Raw genomic sequence first — 12,839 nt, 5'->3', positions numbered from 1 at the left:
ACTGTAATAAACCCCACGTGTCAAAGGTGGGGCCAGGTGGAGATAATGGAATCATGGGGGCGGTTTTCCCCATACTGTTCTCATGGCAGTAAGTCTCATGAGATCTGATGGTTTTATAAATGGGAGTTCCTCTGTTCAAACTCTCTTGCCTGCCACAATGTAAGATGTGACTTTGCTCCTCATTCGCCTTCCGTCACGATTGTGAGGCCCCCCCAGCCATGTGGAACTGTGGGTCAATTAAACCTCTTTTCTTTATAAATTACCCAGTCTTGGGTATGTCTTTATTAGCAGCGTGAGAACAGACTAATACACCTCCCAAATAAACTATTTGTACTCGAGCCCTTGTCTCACAGTCAGCTTCTGAAGGAATCCAAAGTAAGATTTAAATGAAGACCACAGAAAATCTGAGAATGTTTCGAAGAATAGAAACATCTACATGTAAATAGAAAGAGTCACTGAGTTGTAATGGTTCCTAATCACCAGCTCTCCAGGCTTGACAAGAATGCGTATTTGAACTCACACTAAATCTTTTAACAGAGGCAAAGCACTTCCAGGATCATAAAGACCACTCAGAGATTTCTCAACTTTACCAGGCATCAGAGCCTTTTTCCTCCCTTTTATTCAAGAGAGAAAAAAGCCTCCAAATGTCTACCTAAAAAATATTAGCTTAAAAAGAGCTCAGCTTTGCCTTTCTGAGTCATCTGCACTCAAACTTAGACACATCTGTTACCTGATTTTAAAGGGATCCTAATTCTTGCCAGTTGCAAATCTGAGCTAACTAGAAAATTAGATTTTATAAATTATATTTTCAGAGAACATAATAAAGACAAAAATGTATTTTAAATTGTCTTTCCACATACACTCTCTTAACTTACTAAGCTGCTTTTCTGAACACTGGAGAGTAGAAATCCTAGCACTGTGTTTTATATTGTGCTGATTATGCTAATTAAAATGTAATGAAACTTCGGCCATTTTGCGATTTTAAAAATGTGTCATAATATACCACCAATCAACACCAATAATGTCAAATAAAAGACCCCATTTTGAATTGTAAAAACTGTGATGATATAGCAAGATAAAGGACTAAGTGTAAGATGGGGGAATATTGGTGAAATGACTAATTGAAATTTTTGTTGGCACTCTTTGATTATTTCCATCGGTGGCCATTAATTTGCTTAAAACGGGTTTTGTGACTCAGGGTTATGATAAAATTGCATTAAGTCTTGCATTTTGTACAAAGAAAACTGACTCAGTCAGCGTTTCCAATTACCAGCCACATCGGGAGCTTTATTAAGCAAATAAATACTATTGACAATATATAAACAGAGATATCACTTACATATTTGTTGACTCCACCCGATTAGGGTAAAATGTGCAGTACAAGATGTTTACGATAACTTACTGTTTAACTGATCAACATTGCTAATAAAGCTGCCCCCTGCTGTCCTGAATGAAAATGCATATGTTTAAAAAATTATGAAAGAAGCTATTTTAAGCCTAGAGGATAGACTCTACATCTTAACATCTGTAAAAGCTTTTTACATGAAATATAATTCTTTCCCCAGTATTTGAATCATGGTTATAACATACAAATGACAGCAATATCAATTTAATTGAGGTCTACTTAATACCATAACTATGGGCCTTTATTTTCCTTCCACTCAATTCAACAAACTTTAGCACTTAGATTTCTGCTTTTGTAAATAGTCACTGGCAAACTCATTTCATATTGTTTTATTTATTTATTTATTTTTGAGATGGAGTCTTGCTCTGTTGCTCAGGCTGGAATGCAGTGGCACCGTCTCCGCTCACTGCAACCTCCGCCTCCCAGGTTGAAGTGATTCTCCTGCCTCAGCCTCCCGAGTAGCTGGGACTATAGGCACATGCCATCACACTGGCTAATTTTTGTATTTTTAGTAGAGATGGGATTTCACTAAGTTGGCCAGGCTGGTCTTGAGCTCCTGACCTCAGGTGATCTGCCTGCCTCGGCCTCCCAAAGTGCTGGGATTACAGGCGTGAGCCACTGCGCCCGGCCTCATTGTTTTAAAGGTCCCTTTAATATGATATGCATATTAAGTTATTTGCACATTTGCATTAAAAGGATTAGATAGCATGGAAACTGTAATAACAATTACAACAATAAGGGCTAACATTTACTCAGTACTATGTGCCAGGCATTCTGAACACAGACCTTCTCATTTTAGTCTTATCACAACTCTATAAGTATCATTATTATCCCCATTTTAGACGGGAAAACAGAGGCACAGAGAGCTAAAGAACTTGCCCTAGGTCAAACCATTAAAGGTGGCAAAGCAAGATTTAAACCCATCATCCTGATAAACCCTTAGTGCTAGTTTGTAGTTAGCCATGGCTGAGCCAGCAGAAATCAATTGTCTAAGGTAACTACCAAACAAATACGAGAGACCAAACCAAAGTTTGTGCCTGCACTTCTCGAGTGATTCTCTTTTTATTTTTGAACTAAAACATTTATTACAATGGAAAATGGGCAAATGATATGTTTCATGTTTTTTGTTTTTCTTTTCTTTTTTTTTTTTTGAGACAGTGTCACTCTGTCGCCCAGGCTGGAGTGCAGTGGCTCAATTTCGGCTCACTGCAACCTCCGCTTCACGGGTTCAAGCAATTCTCCTGTCTCAGCCTCCCAAGTAGCTGGGATTACAGGCACCCACCACCATGCCCTGCTAATTTTTTGTATTTTTAGTAGAGACGGGGTTTCACCATGTTGGCCAGGCTGGTCTCAAACTCTGGGCTCAAGCGATCCACTCGCCTCGGCCTCCCAAAGTGCTGGGATTACAGGCGTGAGCCACCGTGTCGGGGCTATAGCTTACTTTTAGCTCTTCTTCCAATCTGGTGAAGGGAATTCCTTCCATCTTCTCATCCTTTTTTGGCCACCTTTTCACTCCATTTCTAAGACCTCCTTTGTCTCTTCCTACAGTAGAACCCTGTGTTCTCTCTCCTCTATTGGTAGGTTTAATTACATCATCTAATAAATGAGCATTAATAGTGTAAAAAGGAACAATATAGTACAAAAATGTTTGCTATTTTGGTTACGCAAAACGTTTGCTTCTGGCTGTAAACAGAATACTTCTCTAAAATTGGCTTAACAATCATGGCATTTAGTAACTTATATATGTCTAGATGTAGGTGATACCAGAGTTGCCTAATTCAGTGGTACATTATCAAGGACTTACGTGATATTTCTCTTACTGTTTCCCTATCTTCAGTATGGTGGGTTTTGTGCTTCATGATCACAAGATGGCTTCAGTAGCTCCAGGCGTCACATTCTCACAAAATAGCATTGAGAGGGGGAGCAAAAAAGGGAGGAATGTTTCCAGTCTTGTGTCCCTTTCTAAGAGTGAGCAAAACTTTCCCAAGATTCCCCCATCAGATTCATTAACCAAGTTTAGATCACATGCCCATGCTTAAACTGATCAAAGACTAGAGGAATGAAATCACCCTAAGTGTCTGGGAATTGGGTGTTGGGGGAGTACCTTCCCTGAGCACATGGCCAGGTGTTTCTGCAAGGTGAAATGATTTGGGGAGGTAACCAATAGTGTCTGCTAGACTTCATCATTTTGAACTACTGAAAATACACACACAAAAACGTGCTGGAAACACTTAAAAAGAGGTAAAGGTAGGGAGAATCCCTCGGCATGACCAGTTTTCCTGATTCTTTCATAGAATAATTTCCAACTTTTGACATGGAAAGCCCTACCCGTGGTTTTAAGTTCTTTCAATTTACCTTCCTCCCTTATTTCTAGACAGCTGGCTACTAGATACTAGAACCTGGACTCTAGCCTAGTCTTGCAGCTGAGGTTAAATTGTTCTTTCCAAATACTAAACAGACTAAACAGTCTGTGTAGTGGAGGAATAAACTGCCTTGACTTGATAAAGGTCCATGTTTCACTCTGTCCAATGTGCCACCATGATCCTTATCAGCTACTCAGAACCCTCCACCCTTCACTTGGCTTACTGTCCTTCCCCACCTACTCTTCCTTAGACTTCCTTAGGCTTTGTTCAAAGGGAGAAGAAAACCAATATCCTTTTAAAGCCTTATGCTTTAAAAGGCATTTCACATGGCTATTGGATGTCATGTTCACAAGAACCATAAGAAGTAGATGTTATCATCTAAGGTCCAGAGAGGTGAAATAACCTAACTCCAAATCATGCACTTGATAGGTAGTAGATTTGCCATTCAAACCCATTCTGGTATCTTCCAAAGCTCACATCCCAGAACAGCAAGCAGAAGTTTCCCAGGCTCTTCTTTCTCTGCCTTGGTACATCTCCACCTTGGCCTACCCTTGGTGGAGGTGGGGGAGGGGGAGAATAAATCTGGAGTCACAAGCCCTGGCTTGGGCTATCCCTGTCTTCATGTAGTGCCTGTGTAAGCTCAGGCAGGGCAGGTCACCTCTCCTTTACCAGTCTTAATGTTCTCACTTGTAACACGAGAGTAACACCTACCTTGTAGGGTTGCTGTGAATATTAAGGCAATAGATCTGCATTCTCTTTTATAAAGGCCAAGCACTACATGAATGTGACAAGCCATTATTATGGATAGATTTCTTATTTACCTACGTAATAAGATATGAAAATGGACCTTCCCAATGCTGTTTTGCACCAATACAAGAGACATCCAAAAGGAGTGTGCTCAGATCTACAGAGGCTGACTTTACAAAAGGTATGCTCTAAGACTCTCAAATGCCCTCAACAATTTTGACTACAAAGGCATCAAGAGAGGGTAGAAGTAAGAAGGATTTGTGAAGAAGGTTCTTTAGATAAGGCTACTGCCATGCTGTGGGCATCCCTCTCCGACCCCTGAGGTGATGGGGAGCCCCCTTTTAACCTTAAGTCCGTGAAATGGTACTTTAAAGGGACCCTTGAAGAGGTAACTGTGTGTTCTCTGTGGTTGGGGAGCTAGGATCAGAGCCTGAATTAAGACAGCCTGTGATAGCGGGCTGCACCTCTGCATGTGGGAGCCATGGGGGAAAAAGAGGCTGGACGCTAGGCATGGCAGCTTACACCTGTAATCCCAGAACTTTGGGAGACTGAGATGGGAGGATTGTTTGAGACCAGCCTGGGCAACATAGTGAGATCCTATCTCTACAAAAGTAAAAAAAATCGGCTGAGCGCAGTGGTTCACGCCTGTAATCCCAGAACTTTGGGAGGCCGAGGCGGGTGGATCACGAGGTCAGGAGTTTGAGACCGGCCTGGCCAACATAGTGAAACCCCATCTCTACTAAAAATACAAAAATTAGCCGGGCATGGTGGCAGGCACCTGTAATCCCAGCTACTTGGGAGGCTGAGGCAGGAGAATCGCTTGAACCTGGGAGGCGGAGGTTTTGGTGAGCCGAGATTGCACCACTACATACCAGCCTGGGCAAGAGCGAGACTCTGCCTCAAAAAAAAAAAAAAAAGTAAAAAAAAATTAGCTGGGCATGGTGGTACACGCCTGTGGTCCCAGCTACTTGGGAGACTGATGTGGGAGGATTGCTTGAGCCCAGGAGGTGGAGGCTGCAGTGAGATGAGATTGCACCATTGCACCCCAGCCTGGGTGACAGAGTGAGACCCACTCTTGAAAAAAAAAAGAAAAAAAGGTTGGAGTCTTCTTTTGTTAATCTTTTTGGAAATATAAGATACATATTAAAATGTGCACAAACAACAGGTTTATAGCTTGATGAATTTTCACAAACTGAATATCCCAACAAAACCAGAAGATTAATTACTAGCATCCCATAAGGTCTCTGTACCCCGCTTTCAGTCACTACTACCCCCAAGGGTAACTACTATCCTGACCTCTAATAGCACAGATTATTTTTGCCTCTTTTTGTTCTTTATATAAATGGAATCATACAGTGTGTACCCCTTAGTGGCTCACTTCATTGCTCAACATTCTATTTATGAGAGCCATCCATACTGTATGTAGTTGTAGATCGTTTATTCTCACTACTGTATAGCATCCCATTGTGTGAGCATTCCACAATTTATCCGTTCTACTGTTGATAGACATCTGGGTAGTTTCCAACTGGGGGCTATTATGAATACCTACGGATATTTTAGCACATGTCTTTTGGTAAACATATGTACACATTTCTCTTGCACATACATCTAGGAGTGGGACTTCAGAGTTATAGGGGTGGTGTCTGTAAAAGCTACAACAGTTTTAAGTGTTTCCAAAGAGGATTTCTTAAAGAAAGTGTGGATTCGAGCCTCTACTCCCACTCTCTCACATCAGCCCAAGAACCAGAAGCCAAAAGGGGTGTGGATTTTAGAGAAACACTGTATGGTGAGCATCACCAGAGCTGCAATCAAAGGGGCCCAGCGAAGGAGCCTCCCATGAGCCCCATGGAAGAATCTATATGCCAGGAACATGGCCCAACCTAGAGAAACATTTTAATCTAGCGCAGCATTGTCCCTGCCTCCACATGGGTATTGTGAAGGGCTGCTGTTGAGAGGCTAGCCTTTGAGCTCCATTTCTGGACAGCTGGTTTTCATCTGACCAACTTCACTCCTTGGCTGTGTGACTTTTGGAAGGTCATTCTTTCTCTCTAGGCCTCACTTTTCTCATCTTTCTGATATGAGGCTGCTTTCTGCTCTGAACTTGTAATTGACTGCGTTCTAAATGCCTCACGAACGGAAAGCACGTCTTCACTTTCCTCTGTATTCCTAGAGAGCACCTCATGCTCTACATACCTATTGGCACAGTAGGTCACTAGACAACAAATGTCTTGCAATTTCATTTTCTAAAGAAAAAAAATCTGCTTTTATGGGTTCAGTGATGCACAAAATGAGGATTTAATTGGCGCATTAAAATTAGCAACATGGTGTGTGTGTGCCTGTCCAAATATAGATGTTATACTGCACACCAGCTTTATGGAAAAATCCATTTCCATTCTTGTGCAACTGAGTTTCTCTGAAGAAACAGAGCAAAGACCATCTATGTATCATAAATTTGTCAACTCACTATTTTACCCAAGGATGTTGGGTAATTAGATTCCAACATAGACCCAAAGAATTCTTTTCTTCATCTGGGAACTTGTTTTATCACTTGCTACTGCCTTGATCCTAATGCTTAGCATTTAAAGGTTATATATAGGAAAAAAAAAAAACCACTCCATTGTGTAGTCACTGTCTAGAATGGCATTATATTTTAACAGGATATTATCACTCTGAAAAAAAAAGAAATCATTTTTACTGGGTAGGAAATTATTCCATCATACGGTATTATTCAAGCAATTAGAAATCACATTGTGTGGTGAATGATCAGCTCTTCTTGGTGGAGTTTGTTATTATACTGTTCGTATTTAAAATGTGGGGCTGCAGAGAGAAGAAGGCTTCTTTAGTAGAAGCATGAACACTCTAAGCAGCTCAGGCAGGTGAGCCGTGATGCAATTTTATTTCCCAGGAAATTCTTTCTGGAGTTCCCCTGAAGTTCCCTGTCTTACTTCACCCACAGAAACCTTGAATTCTTTCCCTTTAGCTAAGCTAGGCACCCCTAGGGCTTTATAGGGAACTGACAACTTAAAACTTGGTATTGATCCAAAAGTTTGTTGGAAAATCTGTCTTAGAATTCAGAACAGATTTTCTTCAGTTCTATATGAATGACTGGTTCCTAAGCACACCACCAGAGCCCACGCCACCCACAGGAAATGAGACGCTAGTATTAATGATGGTCAAGAACCAGTTACTTGGTAGAGTGTTATTTCCTGGTGAAAATCCACTCTAAGTTTTCTTGTGAGAACAGAAACTCAGCTCACCTTCTCTCCTCCCTACTGTGCTCTACTGTCAGAAGTGGGGATTCCTACACCATGGGGGATTGGAGTGTGCAGGACAGGAAAATGAGTTGGAAGGCATCCAGAAGTCTGAGCAAAGGCAGGGGCTTCCCAGCAGTGACAGAAAGACGAAGGGAAAAGGAGCAGGGGTGGGCCCAGCAATGATGCAGGGGTAGAGGTGAGAATATTTATAGCTTCAGCTGCAATCAGGAGGAAAGTCCCTGGACACAGAGGTAATTTTGCTCATGGGACATCAGCAACTTGTACAGTCATAATTGAGGGACTGTCCCAGTGAATACACAAGTTGATGCTTTAACATTCACTCAAGCCTACTGAAACTTAACCTTTCTTTCCACTTAAAAAAAAATCATGAAAATAAATCATTCTATAAAAAAAAGATACATGGACCTGTATGTTCATCGCAGCACTATTCACAATAGCAAAGGTATAGAATCAACCTAGATGCCCATCAATGGTGGACTGGATAAAGAAAATGTAGTACATATACACAATGGAATACTACACAGCCATAAAAAATAATGAAATAATGTCCTTTGCAGCAACATGGATGGAGCTAGAGGCCATTATCCTAAGCAAATGAACACAGGAACAGAAAACCAGATACCACATGTTCTTGCTTATAAGTGATAGCTAAACATTGGGTACATAAGGACATAAAGATGGGAACAATAGACACTGGGGACTACTAGAAGGGGGAGGGGAAAAGGGGGACAAGGGCTGAAAAACTACCTATTGTGTACTATGCTCAGTGCCTGGGGGACAGGATGATTAGTACCCCAAACCTCAGTGTCACACAATATACCCATGTAACAAATCTGCACATGTACCTCCTGAATCTAAAATAAAAGTTGAAATTATTTTAAAAACCATACTTCAGATATACAAAAAGTATACAGAACAATGTAACAAACATCCAGCTGAAGATAGAAAACATTTCAGGGCCGGCTGCGGTGGCTCACGCCTGTAATCCCAACACTTTGGGAGGCTGGGGCAGGCAGATCACCTGAGGTCCGGAGTTCGAGACCAGCCTGACCAACATGGAGAAACCCCATCTCTATTAAAAATACAAAATTAGCCAGGCGTAGTGGCGCATGCCTGTAATCCCAGCTACTCGGGAGGCTGAGGCAGGAGAATCGCTTGAACCCAGGAGGCGGAGGTTGTGGTGAGCCGAGATCGCGCCATTGCACTCCAGCCTGGGCAACAAGAGCAAAACTCCGTCTCCAAAAGGAAAAAAAAAAAAAAAAAAAACCCATTTCAGATATAGTTGAGCCCTCTGTTGTACCAAGTCTCACTTTCATTCTCTACCCCAAAACAGCTACAAGTTTGGTATTATCATTTCCATGTGTATTTTTATTATTTTATTACATGTAGATCACATATACGTATATTATAAATCTATAGACATTATATCCTATTATAAATCATTAGGGATATATGTTTATCCTAAATGATTTGATATTTTTGCATATTTTAACATTTTATAAGTGGTAGCACTTTTTTTTTTTTTTTGAGACAGGGTCTCATTCTGTTACCTAGGCTGGAGTGCAGTGGCACAAACATGACTCACTGCAGCCTTGACCTCCTGAGCTCAAGCAATCCTCCTGTCTCAACCTCCCATGCAGCTGGGACCACAAGTGCACACCACCATGCCCAGCTAACTTTTTAAAAACTTTTTATAGAGATAGGGTCTCACTTTGTTGCCCAGGCTGGTCTCAAACTCCTGGGTTCAAGCAATCCTCCTGCCTCAGCCTCCCAAAGTGCTGGGATTACAGGTATGAGCCACCATGCCCAGCCTAATGGTAGCACTTTCTATGTGTCCTGTCACTTGTTCTTCCTTTCTAACATTATGTTTTAAAAATTAGTCTATCTTGCTTGGAAATATACTACAAAGCTATAGTAACCAAAACAGCATACAGCATGGTCCTGGCATAAAAACAGACACATAGACCACTGAAACAGAATAGAAAGCCCAGAAATCAATCCACACATCTACAGCCAACTGATTTTCAACAAAGTTGCTAATAACACACATTGGGAAAAGGACAGTCTTCTCAATAAATAGTGCTAGGAAAATTAGATATTCACATGCAGAAGAATGAAACTAGAACCCTATCTCTCACCATATACAAAAATCAATTCAAAATTGATTAAAAACTTAAATGTAAGACCCAAAACTATGAAACTGATAGAAGAAAGCAGGGGAAATGGTTCAGGGTGTGGGTCTGGGCAGGGATTTTTTTTGATAGAATCTCAAAAGCACAGGCAACTAAAGCAAAAATAGACAAGTAAGATTATATCAAATTAAAAAGTTTCTGTACAGCAAAGGAAACAACAGAATGAAGAGACAACTTACAAAATGGGAGAAAATATTTGCAAACTATGCATCTGACAAGGGGGTTAATATCCAGAATATGGAAGGAACTCAATTCAATAGCCAAAAAAAACCCCATCTGATTAAAAAGTGGGTAAAAGGCCTGGATAGACATTTCTCAAAAGAAGACATACAAATCGCCAACAGGTATACGAAAAAATACTCAGCATCACTAATCATCAGGGAAATGCAAATCAAAACCAGTGAGATATCATCTCATACTAGTTAGAATGGCTGTTACTAAAAAGACAGAAGATAATAAGTGTTGGCAAGGATGTGGAGAAACGGGAACCCTTACATACTGTTGGTGAGAATGTAAATTAGTACAGTCATTATGGAAAACAGTATTGGAGGTTCCTCAAAAAATTAAAAATAGAACTACCATATGATCCAGCAATCCCACTACTGGTTATATATCCAAAGGACATGAAATTGGCATGTTGAAGAGTTATCTGTACTCCCATGTTTATTGCAGCAGTATTCATAATACCCAAGATATGGAGTCAACCTGTGTTCATCAGTGGATGAATGGATAAAGAAAATGTTGTATATATACATGATGGGGCCAGGCGTGGTGGCTCACACCTGTAATCTCAGCACTTTGGGAGGCTGAGGAGGGTGGATCACTTGAGGTCAGGAGTTCCAGACCAGCCTGGCCAACATGGTGAAACCCTGTCTTTACAAAAAAATATATATATATATTAGCTGGGCATGGTGGCGGGCACCTGTAATCCCAGCTACTCAGTAGGCTGAGGCAGGAGAATTGCTTGAAGCTGGGAGGCAACGGTTGCAGTGAGCTGAGATCGCACCACTGCACTCCAGCCTGGATGACAGAACAAGACTCTGTCTCAAATAAATAAAAATAAAATATATACAATGGAATACTATGGATAAAGAAAATATTGTATATATACATAATGGAATACTATTCAGCTGTAAAAAAGAATAAAGTTCTGTCATTTGCAACAACATGGATGAACCTAGAGGATATTATGTTAAATGAGCCAGGCACAGAAAGATAAATACTGCATGATCTCACTCATAGGCAGAATCTAAAAAAGTTGATCTCATAGAAGTAGACAGTAGTAGTGGTTACAAGAGGCTGGGGAGGGTGGGGAGATGGGGTATGGAAAGAGGTTGGTCAATGGGGACAAAGTTACAGTTAGATAGGAATAAGTTCTGGTGTTCTATGGCACAGTAGGGTGACTATAGTTAACAATATTTTGTATATTTCAAATTTCCTAGAAAAGAGGACTTTGAATGTTCTCACCACAAAGAAATGATAAATGTTTAAGGTGATGGATTTGCTAATTGCCCTGACTTGATCATTATACAATGTATATATGTATTCAAATATCACATTGTATCCCATAAATATGTACAGTTTTTGGTGTCAATTAATAAAATAAAGCTTAAAAAAATTAGTCCATGTTGCTAATGTGGCTCTAGGGCATCCATGTCAATACTGCTGTATAGTATTCCATCTTATAAACAGACCTTTTCTACCACCCAAACTCAGGACCCAGCCATGCACTCACTTCTTTTTCCCACCTCACACAGGATATTAGATTCTTAACTCACAGTCAGAGGAACACCCTTTTCTAAGGACCAAATTGTCCAGGTGCCTCACCTAAGCCCTCCTTCCTGAGCCCCAGGAGAAGCTGCCATTGGAAATGGCAGGCTGCCTGGTGAGTATGGATTCAGAACATGATCTGACCTTGACAGAGAGTTTGTCCTTGTCATGGGATAAGAACAGAAGAACTGCCTCCAGCCCCGGTGGATAGATGACTCACATCCCTGGAACTTCCTACCTCTTTTCCCTGGATGGGATCCAAGTCATGCTGTCAAAATAGAATTAATTCACTCTTTAAAAGGGAAAAAAATTCTCAAAATTTAGAATAACAGAATCATACAATGCAAGAGCTAGAAGAGTAACTTGTCCCTGCCTCCTTCCCCAACACCTTAATATAAGACAAGGGACATCTGGGCATCAGCCAAGCCAATTATCTGAGGATATTTCTAGACAGCAGTCACTTGGGGTTTTTCTAGAAGGGGCCGAAGGGTGAAGACCTGAAAAGGAGCAAAAGCAGAGTGTTGGAATGGCTGAGAAGCACCCTTCATGATTAATCAGTGACATTTAGAGCCATCTCTCAGCTCAGCTCAGCTCACCAGAGCAGGGAATCTCTTGGCAAAAGTCTCTGTCCCAGGATTTCTGGCACTTAGTTTGCTGGCCTGTATCAAGCATTCCTTGAAAACTATCTGGCCGGTCAATGCTGGTGCCTGCCATGCAGTATCTTTGAAGTAGGAAAAGGGCTCCTTTGAGTTCTAACCAACAGCTTTGACTGTGTGGAAGCTGTTAATTTACCACAGTTGGCTGCTTTCCCCATCACCCCTCTGATCTACAAGAAGGATCTGAAAAGGAAGCCCTGAAAGTTAGCGCTAACATGAACCCTAGAGATGTTCTAGCCCAACCCCTGATTTATCAAGTTATTAGTTTAACAAATAGGGGCCAAGTGCCTACAGTGTGCCAGACTCTTGGCTGGGCACTGCAAATACAGCGATGATCAAAACCAAACATGCCTCTGCCCTCTTGAAGATTACATTATAGTGGATAGGAGTAGGGGGTGACCAATATTAAAAGCAATCACACAAACAAATGT

The 12,839-nt window shown here is 41.1% G+C and overlaps 3 annotated features.

The window, feature by feature from the left end:
* Nucleotides 225-1,098: an enhancer, noted in NCBI's record as "OCT4-NANOG-H3K27ac hESC enhancer chrX:40737647-40738520 (GRCh37/hg19 assembly coordinates)". NCBI's record gives its function as "activates a minimal SCP1, AML or CMV promoter by ChIP-STARR-seq in naive and primed H9 embryonic stem cells {active_cell/tissue: H9 hESC(naive and primed)}" and the evidence as "EXISTENCE:reporter gene assay evidence [ECO:0000049][PMID:30033119]".
* Nucleotides 7,843-7,922: an enhancer, noted in NCBI's record as "active region_29552". NCBI's record gives its function as "activates an Ori minimal core promoter by ATAC-STARR-seq in GM12878 lymphoblastoid cells {active_cell/tissue: GM12878}" and the evidence as "EXISTENCE:reporter gene assay evidence [ECO:0000049][PMID:35858748]".
* Nucleotides 11,909-12,408: an enhancer, noted in NCBI's record as "H3K27ac hESC enhancer chrX:40726337-40726836 (GRCh37/hg19 assembly coordinates)". NCBI's record gives its function as "activates a minimal SCP1, AML or CMV promoter by ChIP-STARR-seq in naive H9 embryonic stem cells {active_cell/tissue: H9 hESC(naive)}" and the evidence as "EXISTENCE:reporter gene assay evidence [ECO:0000049][PMID:30033119]".

This window comes from Homo sapiens, chromosome X, assembly GCF_000001405.40.
Source record: "Homo sapiens chromosome X, GRCh38.p14 Primary Assembly".
In the NCBI taxonomy this organism is placed as follows: Eukaryota; Metazoa; Chordata; class Mammalia; order Primates; family Hominidae; genus Homo; species Homo sapiens.
This window is presented reverse-complemented; position numbering and strand designations above follow the sequence as displayed.